This window comes from Homo sapiens, chromosome 10 (assembly GCF_000001405.40).
Source record: "Homo sapiens chromosome 10, GRCh38.p14 Primary Assembly".
Lineage (NCBI taxonomy): Eukaryota > Metazoa > Chordata > Mammalia > Primates > Hominidae > Homo > Homo sapiens.
In genome coordinates this window covers 95,414,225-95,435,024 of record NC_000010.11, presented here as the reverse complement: position 1 = coordinate 95,435,024, position 20,800 = coordinate 95,414,225, and the positions used below count along the sequence as shown (strand labels likewise).

The 20,800-nt window shown below is 46.8% G+C and overlaps 1 protein-coding gene across 79 annotated transcripts in view, besides 4 other annotated features; it reads left to right on the top strand.

Annotated features, from left to right (window-relative positions):
- SORBS1 (sorbin and SH3 domain containing 1) overlaps positions 1 to 20,800 on the top strand; it is a 249,599-nt gene that overhangs the window by 126,347 nt on the left and 102,452 nt on the right. For 21 of the 79 annotated variants that reach the window (NM_001384455.1, XM_047424479.1, NM_001290295.2 and 18 more), the window contains 3 exons: positions 2,449 to 2,577; positions 12,809 to 12,835; positions 12,952 to 13,064. In NM_001384455.1, coding sequence (NP_001371384.1) covers positions 2,449 to 2,577; positions 12,809 to 12,835; positions 12,952 to 13,064 — 269 coding nt within the window. Of the gene's footprint in view, positions 1 to 307; positions 404 to 2,448; positions 2,578 to 12,808; positions 12,836 to 12,951; positions 13,065 to 18,839; positions 19,557 to 20,162; positions 20,532 to 20,800 lie in introns of all 79 variants that reach the window. The other 58 variants (NM_001419704.1, XM_047424472.1, NM_001377199.1 and 55 more) reach the window with 9 other exon arrangements.
- Positions 4,054 to 4,554: an enhancer, noted in NCBI's record as "H3K27ac hESC enhancer chr10:97190228-97190728 (GRCh37/hg19 assembly coordinates)". NCBI's record gives its function as "activates a minimal SCP1, AML or CMV promoter by ChIP-STARR-seq in naive H9 embryonic stem cells {active_cell/tissue: H9 hESC(naive)}" and the evidence as "EXISTENCE:reporter gene assay evidence [ECO:0000049][PMID:30033119]".
- Positions 4,666 to 4,755: an enhancer, noted in NCBI's record as "active region_3800". NCBI's record gives its function as "activates an Ori minimal core promoter by ATAC-STARR-seq in GM12878 lymphoblastoid cells {active_cell/tissue: GM12878}" and the evidence as "EXISTENCE:reporter gene assay evidence [ECO:0000049][PMID:35858748]".
- Positions 11,100 to 11,149: a silencer, noted in NCBI's record as "silent region_2646". NCBI's record gives its function as "represses an Ori minimal core promoter by ATAC-STARR-seq in GM12878 lymphoblastoid cells {active_cell/tissue: GM12878}" and the evidence as "EXISTENCE:reporter gene assay evidence [ECO:0000049][PMID:35858748]".
- Positions 15,653 to 15,732: a silencer, noted in NCBI's record as "silent region_2645". NCBI's record gives its function as "represses an Ori minimal core promoter by ATAC-STARR-seq in GM12878 lymphoblastoid cells {active_cell/tissue: GM12878}" and the evidence as "EXISTENCE:reporter gene assay evidence [ECO:0000049][PMID:35858748]".

The following is a 20,800-nucleotide window of genomic DNA, read 5'->3' as shown; positions in this document are numbered from 1 at the left end:
CCAGGCCATCTGTGTGCCTCTGTAAATCTTTGTCCAGAGCTTTGGCAAGCTCCTGGTGTGGTAGGAGGCACCGGTCAACACTGACCAGCTGTATTTGGGTGATAGTTAGAGGGGAGGGGTCTGTTGTCTTGGCCTAGAACTCTAAAGAGAGAAAGCAGGTTATTTTTAATTACTGCATCTACTGCCCTTTGTATTGTTCTTGTTGTGTGGGCGACTTCCTCCTATTGTCCCTGCCCAGTTCCTCAACTGCCTGAGTGTTTCCCAAATGTTCTTTCTGGATGCACCATTTACCCTTTTGTGTTTTCAGCAACTGCCGACCCTTTACGCGCACGCTCTATTTCTGCTGTTAAAATCATTCCTGTGAAGACAGTGAAAAACGCCTCAGGCCTAGTTCTCCCTACAGGTATCTCCTTGGGTCGGTCGATTTTCTCTAACTGTGAGCGGATCATGGCATGGTTTTCCTTTCTTCTTTTCTTCTAACACGCACTTTGAGCTGAATCGTTGCATGTTTAGGAGGCATTCCGTCTCACTTCCTCAGCTTGCTTCCTTACTTCCTCTGTGTATGTGAATGTCTGTGTGCGTTTTCCTGAGAGCCAGCGAATGTGGGGAGGAACTGAGGACAGAGGCCTTGCCCCTCTTTTCTTTAGGAGAAGGGTCAGTCCAGAGGCTCAGCTTTCCCTTTGGGATGGGTCTGCGGTGCATGGACATCCTAGGCTCTCCCTAGAGGTTTCCAGCCCCCAGTACTTTAGCAAAAACTGCAGTCTCCCTGAGAATTAACCTGGTCTCACAGAGAACCTCTGAACTTAGCTGAATTTGAAGCAGCTGCCCTTAGGTGCCCAACCTAGATTCGCCTCTGATGCTCACCGGGCCATCCCAGAGCATCCCCTTTGCCTTCCCCAGTTTTACCTGCAGCCACTTCCTGCCTCTCCCCTCCAGAGGGTGGGGGAGTACAGTTCAGATGTCAGCTCTGGCTCATCGCTTCCTTCTGTACAAAGTGGGGACACATGAGGCCTACACAGTACTTTATCCAATGGCGCTTTCAGAAGTAACTGGGCTGTGTGTCCAGGAACCTATGGATGGGCTGCATCCATCAGTGTGCCTCTCATCCTTTTGAAGTGACTATGAACCAGTTTTCCCAATAGTTTGGTGACATCAGTCGCTTAGCCTCTTGATAGAGTTGGATAAGTCAGATGCTCTCCAAGGCTGATGCTTGCCCTGACACATTGTGCGTTTCGTGCATTGCGTTCAATACAAGAGGTGCTGACGAGGCAGGTCCATTCTCTTGTCTAACGCTAATGATCATTCTCCCTGAGTTGTTGGCAGGGGGCTGCTGGCGTGGAAGGAAAGGAAAGAAGAGGCTTTGCTTCTCTCTGCCCTCGGAGGGGAATGGGGATGAGCTGGATGTTTGAACTCACATCCTGCCCAGACACACACCCTGAATGTCAACCTGTAATCCTAACTGTGACAATTTTAGGTCAGGGATCTAGGCTGTGAGCAATTTGAAAACAAAACAAAACTGTGGCGTTCTGCATAGCTCAGCTGCACATAAAGAAACACTCTGCGTGTGCCTCCCAGAACTGTGTGGTCTGCCCTGGTTCCCTGCCTCCGTGACTGATTTCCTGCAGGATGGCATTCAGATCTTTTGAAGCGTATTTTGAAATCTTTCTCAAGGAAACTCTAAAAGTTGACCTGGGTCTGTTATTAGGCCCTAGTGAAACTGTAGGAGACGCCAGGACCCTGTGAAGACAGCTGAGGCTCGGTGGACACTGCTCATTGAAGGATTTAGCCTTCTGAGTCGTTTTTGTTGCTGTGAGTTTTCTTTGTTATGTTTGGAAAGTGAGACTGTCACTCGTGAGCTTTCTCGCCAGGCAGCATATCCTTCTGTCTCAGCATTTTGGGAGTCTTGACTTGCTGATCCAAGGAGATTTGCTTTTCCTTTTCCCACTGGAAAACTGCAAAGGGGTAGTTGTTCTCCATGGGACCACCCGCCCCCACCCCCCCCACCGCCCCCACTTCCGTAGTTGCCAGCCTGGTCTTCAATGAGAAGTATGGTCTGGAAGCTTGAAACATCTTTCATAAACTCTTTCTTGAACTGTGCCTTACTAACTGGTCAGAAGTCTGCTCATCAACCTAAACTTCATTTAATAAAAGGAATAAACCTGCTTTCATTTTGAAATGTTTTCAGCTGATAGTATAACTCATCCATTTACTCAGAACTCACCATTGCCGCCATGTTCCCCTAACTTCATGATGCACAGTAAACCTCTGAAAACTTGCCCCTCTCCACCACCCACAGATTAATTTCATTGACCACAGGTGTTCAAAGACTTCGCATGGCTGTAACCAGGTTCATCTCATTCCCCGGCTGTAACAATTTGCTAACCAACTGTCCTTTAATCCTTCAGGAGTCTTGGATTCAGTCTTCAATTTTGGACCTTTTCTTTTCAGACATGGATCTTACAAAAATCTGCACTGGGAAGGGAGCGGTGACTCTCCGGGCCTCGTCTTCCTACAGGGAAACCCCAAGCAGTAGCCCTGCGAGCCCTCAGGAAACCCGGCAACACGAAAGCAAACCAGGTGCGCGGAAGCTAGGGAAAGCTGTTCAAAGCCACGTGGGAAGGGCGGGAGGAGGCTCTGGTGTTTTTGCTCAGGAGGGTGTGAGTTCATCAGATACCTCTTGGGGGGGGGGGGTGTGTGTGTGTGTGTGTGTGTCTCTTACGGTCCCCTGGGACAGTCAAATCATTTGGATGGGTAGTGGTCAAAGCCTCAAACTGACAGTCACATGCTGCAGATGAAGGCACAGCAATAACCACACTTTATGTTAGCTTTGACTGAGCAGGTCATCCTGTGACCACAGCCAGTGCTCTGCAGACTGCTCTCATGCAGACTGAAATAGCTTAGGGCATGGGGGGTAAGTAAGCGGTGCGATGGGCTAGAGGTTGGGCTTCTCAGAGCTCATCCCTGCTTCCTAGAGGTTCACTGTGACCTGTCCAGGCTGGGCTGGAGGTGCAGCCAGGGGAGACTGAGAAGTGTGGATGACTCAATGATCTTGCTCCTGGAAAAGCAGAGGTGGGGAGGGCTCAGGCCTGGGATTGGCCACTAGCCAGCTGCGGGAGCAGGATCAGGAAAGTAGCTCAAAGGCCCAGTGTAAACTAGGAGCAAAGGGAGATCAAAGAAGCCACATGAAGCCCATCTCCCCACCTTAACCCATCACTTGGGAAACCTGAGGTATTGAGGTTTAGAACTGGGACTTCAGAACCGGGTAGATCTCTGTGCACACCCTGTCCCCACCACCTGTCAGCTGTGCAACTTTGGTCGAGTTATTCACTGTCTCTCAACCCTGATGAACTGTAGAATGGGGTTGATAATTGCATCTGCCTCAGGATTATTGTGAGGAAGAAGTGTATGAAGTGCTGTGTATCATGCCTGGTGGCATGGAATAGACTGTTAGATGTTAGCTGCTATTTGATTATGATTAGATTATTTTGGCCTCTCCAGGGACGACTTTGCACAGCCCAAGTATTCTGGTAGTTGGCAAATGCTGACTTTGAGATCAGGCACAGTTAGTTTAGGGTGAGACAGCACCTCTCCACTCTGTAGGGCAGTGACTTTCACACTTTAGCTGCATCAGAATCACTTGGAGTAAAAAGGTAGGTTGCTGGGCCCCAGCCTGGAGTTTTAGAATGTAGGGTTCCCACTTGCAGGTCTGAGGTAGGGTCTGAAGGTTCACATTTCTGACAGGTTCATGCTGATGCTGCTAGTGCAAGGACTGCATCTGAGAGCTGCTGCTGTAGGGGATGGGAGCTTGCTTTCTTGAAGGAAAGGGAGGGAGAAATGGAATGGAGGGGAGGACCATTCCCTTGGGACCAGAGAGGCTAGGCAGTAGGGTATGCAGACCCCTCTGGTGCAGCGGGAGTGGTGTGTTGTGATAAGACAGATATGATATGTAGGATGGAAATGGCCAGACCTAGCATCCTGGAAACTGATTTTCTTCCTTCCCAGCTACCCATAACAGGTGCCAGGGCACATGCTGGTGGATGAGGCCAGGCTAGGGTTTGAGCACAAACCCCTTTCTGGTGATGTTGGTCCCCGTGAGGGCTTCTTTGTCCTTAGGCTGAGGGCAGGCCCGAGCAGCCCACAGCCCTAAAAGTCAACAGAGTAGCTTCTTGGTCCTGCATCCCTGAGCCCAGCCCTGACTCCTGACCCGCTGGAAAGGTGGGGGTGAGGAGAGAAGGCAAAGTTATTTTATTCTAAGGCTAACCTCATCCAGCCTCTCCAAGCCTAACTGGGACGACCCACTTCCAAGCTAGAGAGCATTTGGAGAAGAGAGAATCCTAAGGGATGATGCAAAGAGAAAGGCTTTAATGTGCAGTCCCCTGGCCCAGTCAAATAACCTTACAAACCAACTGTCCCGTCCTCTGGCAGCAAATGGAGGTGGTGGAGAGGGAGCTTGGAGCTCCCTCTAGTGGTTACAGTGTGGCATTGACGTAGAACACAATGCCCACCAGGTGTACGCCTGTGCTACCAGTACCGTGTGTGGATTTGTTTTTTTTTCTGTTTCGTTTTCTTTTTTTGAGACAGGGTTTACTCTGTTGCCCAGCTTGGAGTACAGTGATGTAATCATGGTTTGCTGCAGCCTCGGCCTCCCGGGCTCAATCTGTCCTCCCACCTCAGCCTCCCAAGTAGCTGAGGTGCACGTCACCACACTTGGCTAATTTTTGTATTTTTTGTAGAGACAAAGTTTCTCCATGTTGCCCAGGTTGATGTTGAACTTGTAGGCTCAAGTGATCCACCTGCCTCGGCCTGGCAAAGTGCTGGGATTACAGGTGTAAGCCACCATGCCCGGCCCCGTGTGTGGATTTGAGGCACTTTTGGAAACACTCTCTTGTCCCAGAATACTTTTGTGTCTTACAAATTTCTACCAGCTAATTTGGTGAAAAGAAATTTCACCACATCTTTTTCACCAAACCATCAGCAGATTGTTTTAAAATGCAAATACTGTACTCGGAAGAATTAAGGGATAGTTATCAGTCATTCACACCTTACAGTAAGTTCATCTTTGTAAATTGAGATCATCGAATCCAAATAAGCATACATTCATTCAGCATTATCTATGTGCCAGGTGCTGCATGAGTCACTTGGAATTGTGATGAGAAAGGAGGAAAAGAGAGCAATTCTAGGTGCATTAGGTGAGGGCAAAAGGCAGTATGTTGCAACAGGAGTCAGGTGTGGACTTGTAGTCAGCCATCTTCCTTTCGGGCTGTGGGTAAGTCCTAGTGACTTTGAGCCCATATCAAGTATGAGGAACTTGGGCCAGATGCTTTCCAAGCCTTTCTAGCTCCAGAATGCTCTGCGACCTTAGGAAGTTTGGAAATTAGCCTAACAAATGGAATCCCTTTGATTGGTGATAAATTTAAGATGGTACAGGAGGGCAGTTTGGATGAAAAGGAACAAGCTGGGTTTGAGTAGAGGAAACAAAGAAAAAATCCACGTGCTCATTAAGTATACAACGCAGACTAGAATAAGTTAACACTGGGGAGTGGGCTTAAAAGAGGATGTCAGTAAGCCGGGCGCAGTGGCTCACACCTGTAATCCCAGCGCTTTGGGAGGCCGAGGTGGGCAGATCAGTTGGGGCCAGAAGTTCGAGACCAGCCTGGCCAACATGGTGAAACCCCGTCTCTACTAAAAATACAAAAATCAGCCAAGCATGGTGTTGCACGCCTGTAATCCCAGCTACTCGGGAGGCTGAGGCAGGAGAATTGCTTGAACCCGGGAGGTGAAAGTTGCAGTGAGTGAGATCATGCCACTGCATTCCAGCATGGAAGACAGAGCAAGATTCCATCTCAAAAAGAAAAAAAAAATGAGGATGTGAGTATAGGTAATTCAGAAATGGTAATCTTGTCCCCTTACCATGCTACCTATTGGCTAACATCCTGCTGGCTCTTGACTCTGACAGTGTCCATGTCACCCTCCGGACTGACAACTTGCTGGCCCATACCAGTCTATTGTCCTATCCTGGGGCCTAGGAGCCCCTGGGCCTTCCCTGGCTTCATAAAAACAGTTTTCAGCAGTATTTGCAGACAGCCAAGCCCAGTCTGGACTGGGAGCCCAAGTGTGAGGTAGTGGATGGCTCTTGCCAAGGATTGCTTCCTACTCCCAATGCCTTTGCAGATAGCTAATGTCAGATGGCGTCTGGCTCCCTCCCTTCTCACCAGGGACAGCATTTGTCCCCCAGCTGCTCTGCCTGCTTCCTCTCTGACTTGCTCCCTGTTTGCCACCTTCTTCAATGCCTATAGGTGTCCAGGTTGTTGATTATTTGCCTGGACTGGAAGGTCCAGTCCCTACCTGGTCCCCTGATACCCACATTTCAGCAGTGCCCCCTATTTCTAGTCCTTGTCCCAACCCCCTCACCTGGGAGAGATGATATAGTTCTGGTTTCACACAGTTCTCTACTGAGGCTGAGCACTGCCACTTACTGTCTTTGCGGTATGGACAAATTACTCCACCTTACAGGGCTTCAGTTGCCTTATTTGTAAATTGGAGATGACCATAACAGAGTTGTTGAGATTAAATGAGCTCTTTCTTCTTCTTCTTTTTTTTTTTTTTTTTTTTTGAGATGGAGTCTCACTCTGTCACCCAGGCTGGAGTACAGTGGTATGATCTCGGCTCGCTGCAACCTCTGCCTCCTGAGTTCAAGCAATTCTCTTGCCTCAGCCTCCCAAGTAGCTGGGACTATAGGTGTCTGCCACCACATTCGGCTAATTTTTTTTGTATTTTTAGTAGAGACCAGGTTTCACTGTGTTGGCCAGGCTGGTCTTGAACTCCTGACCTCATGATCCACCCGCCTTGGCCTCCCAAAGTGCTGGGATTACAGGCATGAGCCACCACACCCAGCTAAATGAGCTCTTTCATGTCAAGCATTTGGCACAGGCCCAAAGCAAGTGCTTTTTAAGAGTAACCATTCTAGTTCCTGCAGGTCAAGAGGCTTGTTAAAGATTTGAAAGAATTTCAGTTTGAAGCCATGAGGGCCTCACCCCTAGCATGGTGGCAATGGGAGTGAAGAGCAGAGGCTGAGGTCAAAGTGTCTTTTGGAGAATGAAATGACCAGGGCTCCTTGTGGTGTATTTAAGGACCACAGAGAGGTAAGACTCCATGTGGCCCAGGAGATGCCTTCCCTGGTTGGCTAGGAGAGTAATTGTGGCACTCATGGAGTTGGGGGGATTTGTGAAGAGTGCTGGAAAGAATGTTGAATTCCATCTTTTGACATGTCAAGTTTCTTGGCAAGGGAAGGACTTCCAGGAGAATGTTTCTAATGGGAATTTGGAAATTTGGAGTCCAATGTGTGGATTTGGAAGCCATCTGCATCCACATGAACTTTGAGAGAATGGAGACATTCTCGGTGGAGTGACAGAGAGAGCCCTTGAAATTGCCCAGTTAACACTCATTCTCCAGACTCCTCCATTCAAGTGGTGGCTTAACTCAAGATCCCTGACCACAGCTTCCCGATCAGCCTCCTCATCTCTGAATGTGGACCTTGGTTTTTGGATCAGAACCATCTGAAAGGAATGGCAGTAATCTTAGTACCGACTCCCTGCCCCCAGGAGAAACCTCATCACCTTATCCCTGCCTCCTGACCTCATTGCCACACCAGGTCTGAGCGTTGGCCATGTTGGTTCAGAGTGACTTGATCATGTCCCAGGTCAGGGTGTTTTCACTCCAGACAGGGAGCCTGAGTTGGTGGTGAGTGTGATACAAAGCTTTCTGTCTGGTATAGTCTAAAGATCTTGTGGCTTGATATATCAATTCCTGTGTTCTGACTTAGATGCCAGGGTCCAGTTCAGCCCTTATATTTTGTTAATTCTGTACCAGTTGGCTCCAGTCCTTACTGCCTGATTCTTGAATGCAAAGTTAGCTTTGGACATAAAGATTCTTGGACCTGCAGTCCAATTATTTCCTCTGGTTTTGACTCTCACATTTGCTCTCCAGGAATGGCAGTAGCAAAAAGGTACCATAAGAAGGTTAACATTGAAGCAGTTGAAGGTACCCCGTACCTCCATTAAATTAGAGTCTTTTTGATGAGTACATGTGTGAGAATTAGGGCCAACTGAGAAGTTGGAGGGAAAAGTCCTCACAAGAGTGCACCCTCCCTTCTGACACCAGCTGCAAGTTCAGGGGATTCACAAAACCACTCTCAGGTTTGGTACAATGCTGGAGGGACTCACACAACTTACTGAAAGCTGCTACACTCCGGGTTATGGTTTATTGTAGGGAAAGGATACAGATTAAAAAAGGCAAGAGAAGATGCACGTAGGCTGGAGTCTGGAAAAGGTACCAAATGCGGAGCTTCTGTTGCCTACTCTGCGTGGAGAGTCAGGACATATTATTTCCCAGCAGTGATGTGTGACAGTGTTCTCAGAGCATTTTCAACCAGGAAATGTACCTGAGCCTTTGTGTTCAGCCTTTTTGCCATGTCTCCATTACATAGGCATGATCCACTGCCCACAGGGCAGTTCTCAATCTCCAGTCCAACTTTGTAATCGATTGAGCTCCTGGTGGCTCAAAGCCCCCACCCCAAGTCACATAATTGGTGTGACTCAAAGCCCCAGATAAACAAAGTCACTCCTATCAGGCATGACTTTCCAAGAGCTCAGAGATTACATCCCAGAAGCTGAGGGCCAAGGCCAGACCTCTTTTTGGATAAAGTTAAATTCTCTACTGTACAGTGTGAATACAAAATAAACACAAATAAGATTTGGAACACCCTTAGACTTACTATTAACACCTGTCATCTACCTCTTAAATACTCTTACCAGAACACATCAAGACTCACTCAGTGAAAATTATCCTAAGATGCCAAGAAGAATTGACTGATCAGCAAAAGGCTTTAAAACAGGTCAAAATGAAATTAGCATAGAATGAGATGAGATAAAATAAAATATCAGGAGGCTACAGCCACAGGCCAGAAAAGATTGCAAATAAAGAACAGCTGGAGGAAAAGATAAGGCAAAGTAAATTATGCTGCTTGCAGAAAGGGTAGGTCTCTCAGGACTGCAAAAGCTCTCTAGGATCCAACTTTCCGAGGCACTCCCCCCAGCTTGGGAGCTCTAAGGTAACATTTATTGAAAGAAGCATTTTGACAGTCTCTTCAATCAGGAGTTAATAATGGATGATCATGTGTGCAAAATTTCATACTTCTGCACATAGGCACAAATGGCCCTGGGCTGCTACCAACCTTCCAAGTTCAGAAGATGAGGTAATAGATGAAGGATGATAAGATGTCAGAAATATAGCTCTCCTTTAACAAGGAAGAGAGGAACATTTAAGAGGTCCTGAGAACTGCCTTTTTGGGATAGGGGAAGGGGAACAGTTTTAAAGACTTGGAATGAGAAGAAAAAGTGGATCTATCCCTAAGGATCTTACGTTCTTAAAGCTATTTATCACATGGCAGAGATCAACAATGCTCATTTTTTTCCATGGTTTTTTCCCCCTTATGCTTTGAATTCTGATTTTGCAAAGCACATGCTTTATGCCAAATACTTTCATTTAGTCCTCTTGATTCAAAAGAGGTAGATATTATCTCCATTTCACAGACGTGGCCAGGTCATTTGCCACAGGATATGCAGTTAGCAAGATAGAGACTCAGGGCTGAAACTAGGCAATCTGATGTCACAGTGATGGTCCCTTCATGATACCTGGAGATTTAGAAGAACAGTTCACATTTCAGCTTTCCGTGACATAGCTGTTTGCTAGTGTCACTTGAATAGAACCAACCCAACTGAGAACCAGAAAGTGGGCAAAATAATGTGTCCCCAATTGCATGTACGAAGTTTACATCCTTCACTAGATAGCCCTTCACTCAGAACCTGTTGACGTTAGTATATGCATAAATCTAATAAATTTGATAGACTTATTTGACAAAGGTGGACTAGAAATAGCAACTTAGTAAAGAAGATGGAACGGTAAAAGTGATAGCTGTGAGGGAAGAAGTGGACCATTGTCATGGCATGTCACCAGGTGTTTAAGGGCCTGCCAGGTGTGAGGGGAGCTCTGAGCCAGGGAGCCGTCTGGATGCGACAGGGAGTGTGGTGCACTCAGAGGTATTTTCATGTACCTGATCTTTGATTCTCAAAGATTCTCCAATTCTTCAATTGGAGAGAATCAAAGAATCATACTCCCTGTGAGGAGTATGGGGTAAGGCTTATATTTTATAGGTGAGAAAAGTAAAATTTAGCATGGCTAGTGAACTTGCTCCTGGTCATACAAGCCGGTACATTGCAGTAATGTGAGCAAAACACATGTCCTGTATGTACCTTTCCCAACTACAGTTGTCCCTCAGTATCTGCCAGTGATTGGTTCCAGGACCTTCACGGATACCAAAATCTGAGGATGCTCAAGTCCCTTATATAAAATGGCATTGTATTTGTACATAACCTATGCAGATCTCCTGTATATTTTAAATAATCTCTAGATTACTTGTAATACCTAATATAAGTGCTATGTAAATAGTTGTTACTCTGTATTTTTTAAATGTTGTATTATTATTGTTTTCTTATTTTGTGTTTTTTCCCCCAATATTTGATCCACGGTTGGTTGAATTAACAGATGCGGAATCCGTGGATATGGAGGGCTGACCGCACGCAGTTTTTGCGGGTTGGAGAAGACAAATGGCAGTGAATTGTCTGTAAGGAAGTGGCAGAAATGTAACAGGCAACCTGCTAAAAGAATATGTAGCTAAATTTTAAAACTGTTTTAAAGGGGAAAAAATAAAATGGATACAGCTAGTTTTCCAGAATAAGGACGTTTTTGAGTGTACCTCTCATCAGTGGTTCTCCAGGTGTCGGTTACGGACTGGCAGTCTCAGCATCACCTGCAAACTTGTTAGAAATGCAGATTCTTGGGCCTCACCTCATACTTACTGCATCAGAAGTGCCAGGATCCAGGCCCAGCCACCTGTGTTTCAGCAAGCCCTGATGCAGCTACACCACTGCTATACGTGAATGCCAATCACTTGGAACCTTTACCCTACCTTGCCTTCTGCTCCAGCTCTTTTTGGCTCCCACCACCTCTCTGAAGCATAGCATCCACTTCATGGCCGATGGGGAGGCTGGTGGCTGTGGGGGTGGTAGGCAGAGTGCTAGGTTTGGATTCTGGAGACTTGGGCTGACTGCTTTGTCACTTCCTGGCTGTGCGACTTTGGGCAAGTCATTTGGCCTCTCTGTTTCCTCATCCATGAAGGAGAGTGATTACCTACTTCACAGAGTTGTTGTGTACACTGAACTAAAACTAAATGGGCGTAACAGTGACTCACAGTGGCACTTAGAGAGGTGTTCAGTAAATGTCTGTAAATCTCAACTTGGCATCTGGAAAGCCCATGTCTAGCACCTGAGGGACCCACATTGAAACGGAGGATTGGGCAGTGAGACTGCAGTGTTAGTCCCTCTTTCTCTACATGGTGAGGCAAGAGGAGGCAGCCTGGGAAAAGAAGGGGTTAAGGCTTGGCTAGATTAGGGATTGGCAAACTGTGGCTGTGAGCGGAATCTGGCCTGTGCCTTTTTTTGTACAGCCCTCGAGCTAAGAAGGGCTTTTACATTTTTTAATGGTTGAAAGAAAAATCAAAAGAAGAATGGTATTGTATGCCACATGAAAATTTTATGAAATTCAGATTTTAGTGTCCATAAATAAAGGTTTATTGGAACACAGCCATGCTCATTCATTTACATATCATCTGTGGCTGCCTTTGTCCTACAATAGCAGAGCCAAGTAGTTGCATCTGAGACCATATGGCCCATAAAACCTAAAATATTTACTATCTGGCCCTCTATAGAAAAAAGTCTGTGGACCCCTGGGTTAGATCAAGGACAGAGAGTAGAGACAAGAGATGATACAGAAGATGATAAATAGCAAACATTTTCTGAGCTTTGCCAGGCACTGTGGTAGGCATTTTGCATGCATAAATGTTCTTATTAACAACACTTATAAAACAGGCATATCATTATCTCCATTTTTCAGATGGGCAAACTGAGGCTTATAACTTGCCCAGGGTCATAGAACCCTTAGGTGGTAGACCCAGGATATGAATTGAGGCCCAGCTGCCTTTCCAGTCGGGCTTGTAACCACTGCACTCTGCTGCCTCATGGTGCTATGTGCTATGTGGATCAGACTAGAGGTTTAGGGTCTCTGAAATGCATCAGGCAGTGGCTGGGAAGGCTGAAGGGAGACAGGGGTGCTTTGTGATGTGATGAACACTCAGGAAGGGTGATTAGATTTTGAAATGTTTATGTGCCTCATTTAATGGAAAGAAGAAAAGCAGGCAGGGAGGAAAAAAAAGTCTTTATCGCAGCAGATACCTCCCAGCTTAAGTCATGTGCTGCCCCTTAGCCCAGCACCAGCACCCCTGGAAAAAGTGTTTATCCACTTCTCTCTCTCCTGGGCCTGTTAGTTGGTTGGGAGTGGTCATTCTGAGCCCACAGCAGGCTCAAGGAAGGGGAATGAGAGTCAGTGAGTAGGGACTGGACAGTAGAGAATTCTGTTGCCTTTTTGTCTGTAAAATAAGAATGTCAAGTAACAATTGTTTCTTCATCCCTGTGAATGTGAGCCTTGTGTTTTCAAAGGTCAGTGCCTGTGAGCACATCATGGTTTCGAGTGGGTTCCTATGGTAATCAGGCCATCGTGACTGAGGGCATTTTGTGTCAAACAACGGGGTGCTGGATTTTCAACCTTCTATGCAGTTTCATGCTTGTTTCCTGCAAATGTAACCATTTCTGTTTTTCCCCTTTTCTTGTTTTCATCCTTTCTGCACCACGTGTAGGTCTGGAGCCAGAGCCTTCTTCAGCAGGTATGGCTTCTCTTGCATTCTCACCTTTCTGGCCTTCTACCAAGGACCCCGGAGTTACAGGGGAACCAGGGAGTTATTCCCTGTGAGTGAGAGATTTTTTCCTCTCTATTTCTCAGATGAGTGGAGGCTTTCTTCCAGTGCTGATGCCAATGGAAATGCCCAGCCCTCTTCACTCGCTGCCAAGGGCTACAGAAGTGTGCATCCCAACCTTCCTTCTGACAAGTCCCAGGTAGGCATGTGCCCAAGGGCAGGGTGGGGACTGGTGAGTGGTACCTGTTCTTGAGTCTCTTAACTTAGACTGGTGACTTCCTGCTTCCCCAGTTGGATAACGGAATAGGTTTCAAGCTTTTGGACAACTCTGGATAAGCTCTGCAAGGACCTAGCTAAGGGAAAGTTGGGGTCAAGGGGAGCAGAGGCATGGAATGAGGTTGGTCTGTACCAGGGTGTTGGAAATAGGCCTTGATGCCTATTTAGGTTTGTTCTGTATGTAGAAGTGTTCTGAAAGAGGGAATTCATTTAGCCTTGGATATGTAGGAAAAAGGTCTGAGACGTTTTTAAAAAAAATTCTTTAGAGTGTAATATTCAAGAGAAGAATGCATCTTGTGTTTATTCCAGTTGTTTTCTGGAGATGGGGCTGTAAGAACTCCAGCAACAGTATCCTTACAGATTAAGATCAGGTAGCTGTGGCCAGACCCTAAGTCCAGCAGCCCAGGAACAGGCAAAATGGCAGTACAGCCCAGCTGTATCCTACAAAAGAAATCCCCCAAAGCTGTACAAATTGGAGTAAGGATACTTTTGCTTAAGTCTTTCCCCCTAGGTGGCTTTCCTGATCTTTTCTTTCTTCCCTCTCCTGTTGTTACTTTGTCATTTTGATGATGGGAATAGACCATGTTTTAATTTAGGTGATCTGTGATGAACATTTTTGCATACAGGAGCCACATCTGTGGAGTCGACTACTACTTCTCTCTCTCTCTCCCCCTCTCTCTCCCCTCTCTCTCTTTCTCTCTTCCTCTCTCTTTTTTTAAGACAGGGTCTCTATCTGTTGCCCAGGCCAGAGTGCAATGGTGTCATCGTAGCCCACTGAAGCCTCCAACGGCTGGCCTCAAGCCATTCTCCCACCTTGGCTTCCCAAAGTGTTGGGATTATAGGTGTGAGACACCACACCTAGCCTAGTCCTTTCTCTTAAAGGAAGCTGTGCTGCTCAAAAACTATAGCAGAAATGTGTTCCTTGTGTGGTCCGCTTCCCTGTGCCTTCCTTCTGTGAAGGTGTTCCCCGAACTCACAAGGAGTCCGCAAATTCTGCAGGTCCTTCCTAGTTCCCACCCCACTTCTCCAATGATCCTCTGGTTCCTGTTGTGAGGATGTAAAAATGCACTTGCTGCTGAAATGAAGCTGAATCAGAGATGATGTTTTTCTCCCTCTCTACAGATGCTTATCCTCCTCAGCGTGGAATTGGTTGCTTAATTGTCTGCCTTGTATGCTGAGCAACAAACACATTTAGCCTTTCTGCCACCTGCTATGACTTGCCTCCCTAGGTACAGCCGTATGCATCCTGGGTCACTGGTTAGAACCAGGAGCTGCGAATGAGCCTGGCTTTTTGAAGTCTTCATTAGACAGAGGGACTGGGGAGGTCACTTGTCCGGTAAATGACTTGCCATGGTTTTCCCGTCCCTAAACCCTTTCACAGTGTATAAATGTGCTGCCTGTGGCAGACATACTTCTTTTCAACCATCTCAAGAATGGATGCCATCAGCTCTATGCAGATCAAGAAACAGTGCTGATTAATTCAAAGCAAATGTAGAAGCATGTCCTCTTCCACTATCAGTGACTTAGTTCAAAGGGTAACTCAGTAATTCTTTTTGGCTTCTTAAGCAGCTCTTTTGAAAAGACAATTTTAAAAGCATGTGAAGTAAATAAAAATTCTTTTAAAATTTATTTAACACAGCTTTATTGAGCATCTCCGTGGTGTTCAGATCACTGTGTGAAACATTGCCCTCAAGAGGTTTATAAGGGTGAACACCCTATAATATCTTTTACAAAGTATGTTTTCTTATCTGTCACTATCCAAGAATTTTCTTTCTACTGGGGTTCCCTTTTAAGGGAACTTGGTAAATTGCTCATAAAGAGGTTTTATCCTTTATATTCAATGTAAAATCAGCCATTCAAATTTCAGGAACCTTTAGGTCATGCATTACCTCTTAGGTGTGTTTTCTGAATGGAAACATGACTTCTTGTCTATATAGTGATTGCCAGAGCTGTAAGTATGCACTGGCTTAGAGGAGGGAATTGGTAGTTTATAGAACTGTATAAACTATAAACATACCAGGATTTTCCAGAAGCCTCATATTTTCACTGACCCACCTTCTGAAAAGATAAATAGAATTTCATTTATAGCCAACTGGGCAGAATGCAGACTGCCTGTGTGGTTCCTACAATGTTTACAACAAAAAGTAGTTCCCTGCATGTAAAGTCACTGTGCCTATCCCCTTTCTTCTTCAGGACTAAAAGAAGCCCCAGGGCAGGAGACCTTTGGATCTGAGTGCACTGTTGATGCTCTGGGGAAGCGTCCTCTCTACAGGGTCAAAGCCCTGGGAAGGCTCATGCCTGATGTAATGCACCATATATGGCGAGAGCCAAAATAAGTTAGAAACTCACTGAAGCTGATTTCTATCTTTGGACAAGAAGAAATCACATATGGGACATTTGAGCTGAAAGTAAAAGTAAATCTGAGCTCAAATCAAAATGATCTTTTGCTTACCTCCCTACTGCCATTATCAGCATACCCGCCAGTCCCTTTGGTGCGTGCTAGCCCACGTGTTTTGTTTCTAGAATCGTTTAGTCTGTAAACATGTTCACTGAAACCAAGTGAGTTCACCTGAAAGCTTTTGCTGTTGCTGAATACTAGAGAGGGGCTATTCATTTTGTTTTTTTTTTGGCTGGTGCATATTCACTGGCACTGCCATGGGTGCCCTGTGGAAAGGATAGGCATTGAATTAGTCAAGGATATCCAAATGAGCTGCTTGTCCAATGAGCTTATATGTGTGCCTTGAAAACTGAGTTTAAGGAATAGGTTATTTACTATTTCTGGGTTGATGTTCTAATCTGGACTCAAAAAACTTTTTTTTTTTTTTTGACAGTCTTGCTCTGTCACCTAGGCTGGAGTGCAGAGGTGCCATCACAGCTTACTGCAGCCTTGACCTCCTGGGCTCAAGCAATCTTCCCTTCTCAGCCTCCTTAGTAGCTGGGGCTACAGGTGTGTGCCACCACACCTGGCTATTTCTTTTTTAAATTTTTTGTAGAGACAGAGTCTCGCTGTATTGCCCAGGCTGGTCTCAGACTCAAGTGGTCCTTCTGCCTTGGTCTTCCAAAGTGCTGGGATTACAGGCTTAAACCACAGTGCCCAACCTATAAAACTTTTAAATATTTTTCACCTATTCACCCTTTCTAACATTCTTTCTTCTTGCCACCTGTATGCCACAAATATAAGAATGAAATAGGCCAGGTGCAGTGGCTCATGCCTGTAATCCCAGCACTTTGGGAGGCTGAGGTGGGTGGATCGCCTGAGGTCAGGAGTTCGAGACCAGTCTGGCCAACATGGTGAAACCCTGTCTTTACTTAAAAAAAATACAAAAATTAGCCAGGTGTGATGGCAGGCACCTATGTATAATCCTAGCTACTCAGTAGGCTGAGGCAGGAGAATAGCTTGAACCTGGGAGGCGGAGGTTGCAGTGAGCCAAGATTGTGCCATTGCACTCCAGCTGGGGTGACAAGAGCGAGACTTAGTCTCAAAAAAAAAAGAATGAAATAAAATTGGCCGGGCGCTGTGGCTGACGCCTGTAATCCCAGCACTTTGGGAGGCCAAGGCGGGCAGATCACTTGAGGTCAGGAGTTCAAGACCAGCCTGGCCAACATGGTGAAAACTCGTCTCTACTAAAAATACAAAAATTAGCCGGGTGTGGTGGCACAGGCCTATAGTCTCGGCTACTCAGGAGGCTGAGGCAGGAGAATTGCTTGAACCTGGGAGACGGAGGTTGCAGTGAGCCAAGGTCACACCACTGCACTCTAGCCTGCGCAACAGGGTGAGACTGCATCTCGGGAAAAAAAAAAAAAAAGAATGAAATAAAATTAAAAATAAATTCAAAATAGACCCAGATCTTGCACCCTCCCCATTTTTGGTCAAAATTCACTTACCGATATTGATCAGACTCTAATATACTTCACTTGCGTAATTTGGAGGAAAGTTCTGGTTTTCTTCTAGAACTGGGATATCTTTAAAAATAGGAGCCATTCACGCCTGTAATCCCAGCACTTTGAGAGGCCGAGGCAGGTGGATCACAAGGTCAGGAGCTCAAGACCATCCTGGCCAGCATGGTGAAACCCCGTCTCTACTAAAAATACAAAAAATTAGCTGGGTGTGGTGACATGGGCTTGTCCCAGCTACTCAGGAGGCTGAGGCAGGAGAATTGCTTGAACCTGGGAGGCGGAGGTTGTAGTGAGCCTAGATTGTGCCACTGCACTCCAGCCTGGGTGACAGAGTGGGACTATGTCTCAAAAAAAAAAAAAAAAAGGAGCCATTAAAGAAAACCTAGGCTGGGTGCAGTGGCTCACTCCTGTAATCCCAGCACTTTGGGAGGCTGAGGTGGGCAGATTATGAGGTCAGGAGATTGAGACCATCCTGGCTAACACGGTGAAACCCCGTCTGTACTAAAAATACAAAAAATTAGCCAGGCATGGTGGCATGTGCCTATAGTCTCAGCTACTTGGGAGGCTGAGGCAGGAGAATCACTTGAACCCAGGAGGCGGAGGTTGCAATGAGCCGAGATCGCGCCACTGCAGTCCCGCCTGGGTGACAGAGCGAGATTCCATCTCGAAACAAAATAAAACAAAACAAAAGAAAAGAAAATCTAGCAAAATGCAGTTTCCTCATCTCATAGTCTAATTCCCAGTTGAGCCGCAGATTGCCAGATGACTCTTGTTGACATGAGGATCAGACTGGAGGGTCATCCCATTTCCTGACCCTCTTCTCCACTGAGACCCAAAGAGGAGCAGTGTTGAGAAGAGAGGGATGCTGTGTGAGCCTCTGGACCTGCAACCAGAGCTTTGGGCTTAAGCTGTGAATCTGAGGCTGATCATTTACCTCTGGGGCTGATTCCCTTTGTGTGGTGGTGGGCTGGGTGAGATGGGCATGGGGCTAGATTTTGAGAAACTAGGCACAGTCCAATCCGGTAGAGGCCAATTCAGTCCTTCATTGCCTGGTCCCCTTTTTTGTGTACATCAAAAATGGGAGACTGTGTGCTTTTAATCTCATGCTTGTCTTCCTTCTAATAATTAGCTTCATCAAATTCTTTCCTCTGAGAAAAGAGCACATGTGTATTCAAAAATCCTTAGCATTCTCTTCTTAGGGCACGTTAATTTGTTATGCTTATGGAATTGAGTGCTAAATCTCAGTGACTCAATTAAGACATCTGTCTCCTGTGAACACAAATAAGGACGGTTCTTCCAGTTCTCCTTTTCCTAAAGGAAAAGAATGAAAGGCACTCAAAAGAGTTCCAGTGAACATAAACTTCTAAGGCCAAAGGCTCGAAGATAAATCTTGAGGGAAGGAGGTTTGAGAGGGAGTTGGGGGCTTTGGTGCTTCTCCCACTGGTGTTTAGTTCACTTGGCTCCCTTCTTGAGTCAGGATGTCTAATAAAGATGCAGTCAGCCAAGGATTGGTGTCACAATTGATGTAGCATGTGGCCTGCTACGGGCTGGGCTCAGCCTCTCTGGATACAAAGGAGAGTCAGGCCTACCTCTCCAGGTGAGTGGGATTCAGTCTTTGGCTTCACTTAGAATTGTGGATACTAGGAGGAGTCTAACCTGAGGATGTGCTGAAAAACGTGTTAAGAATTGTTTTTGCTTGAATCATGTTATGCTGTCGTTTCTAATGATCGTCCTTCTTTCCATTTCCCCTCCTCTTTCTTTTTTCCCTGTTTGATAACATATCTTGAAAATATTGCTAAAGGTTCTCTCTCCCCCACGCCCTCCTCTCCCTCAAAAGGACCGCTTTGCATGGCAGTCCCCCACCATCCACAATACCTATAAGGATTCCCTCTACCTGAGCTCACCAAAGCCTTATGTCCCACTCGGCACCCCCAGACAGCAGAACCCCTCACAACCCCAGCCTATCTCTGTCCTCCTGGCAGCTGGATCGGCTCCCAAAGGTGTGGTGTGCCCTGGTTCCTTGCTTCCGGACTCCACGTTCCCCAGTGCTTCATCCCAACCCCAGCAGCGCTATGCAGCCACCAGGACAGTTTATCATAAGAATGTGAGCTCTAACCCATGTCATGAGGCAGTTGGGATTAAAAAGGTCAGCAGCTTATATGTACCTTGTTTATCCAATAACATTTGCCTGGCGGCGTCAGAAAACTCCTCTCGTGTTGCACGTGACCCTGCCGAAGGCACTCCCTTGGAGGCTGCGGGCACCCGAGCACCGGCTCCCGGCCTTGTCTCCCGCACAGCCGGCACAGGAAAACCACCCCCTGCTCCTCCTCCTGACCCTCCCAAGCTATTCTTTGACATCCGTAAAGATGCCGTTAACCGTGGCGAGAGTCCTTCCCTGGGGACTCAGGCTTCGTTCCCAGATGTGAGACCACCTGTGCTAGGCCCCCGGGTTACCTCTGATCCCGAAAACCGGAAGAGCAAAGAATCTTACCTTTTGCAGCCGAGTTATCCAGCCAAGGCAAGAAATTAGGAATGTTTGTGTGTCTTCTCTACTGTCTCTTTCAAAACTGATGCGAGCAGCTCATTGTTCACTGGGCTGCCCTACCCTCCCTTTCCTCATTAATGTTGTTGTGGCTTGAGTCCCGAATTCTTCTGTCTGAACCTTTCAGCACAGTACTCTCTTTGTCTGTCTCTCTTTTCTGTAAATGTGTAAGTATGCCGGAGCGTGGAATCCAGAGACTAATAACATGGTGAGAAACTCATTGTTCATGTTTTATTACAAGGTGCCAAAGAAATTGTATTTACTCCCAAGCTTTTAGGCTCTATGGTGGTGTTGTGGGGTTAAACACAGCCTGCCTGCCTGTTCTGTTCTTTCTCTCTCATAAAGTGTTAAAAGGATTCAAAAATAGATGGATGAAAAGCGGAGTTGGATGGGGTTCCCTCTGTGTCATGGAGTGTCAGAAGGCCAGCTGGCCAGCTCCGACTGTCTCATGTACTCTGAGGAAAGGGCACTGATTAAATATTTCTCAGAGTACCTCACTGCATGCCCACTCTCAACCGTTTAAATATGGAATTCTTTCCTCGTATCATACCCCTTTCCATAACGACCCCCTTATTTCCACAGGATGCCACTTCCTCCAGTGCAGCCCAGCCGGAGGTAATAGTTGTCCCTCTCTACCTGGTTAATACTGACAGAGGGCAAGAAGGCACTGCCAGACCTCCAACACCTCTGGGGCCTCTTGGCTGCGTCCCCACAATCCCAGCGACTGCCTCTGCCGCCTCACCTCTGACCTTCCCGACTCTAGATGATTTCATTCCCCCTCATCTGCAGAGGTGGCCCCACCACAGCCAGCCAGCCCGCGCCTCTGGCTCCTTTGCCCCCATTAGCCAGACGCCACCATCCTTCTCACCACCACCTCCGCTGGTCCCTCCTGCCCCGGAGGACCTCCGCAGAGTCTCGGAGCCTGACCTCACGGGAGCTGTTTCGAGTACCGTAAGCTTGCTGGACTCCCCTCCTCACGGCTTTTCTGAATGTCTCCTCCCAGCAGTCACATTCCCTTTCTCACTGAAGCACTGAGCTCTGAGGACAGCACTGGCTGCCGCTGTGCCTGTGTGATGACTGGAGCCGTGTCCCCTGTCACTAGCGTGCATGCTTCCCGTGTGTCTTCCCTGGGTCTCTCGGGGCTGTTCCCCATCTCTGCAGTGCCTCATCTGCTCTGTCCTGTTGGGAATGCACATCTTTCTCCCTCAGAAGACAACATC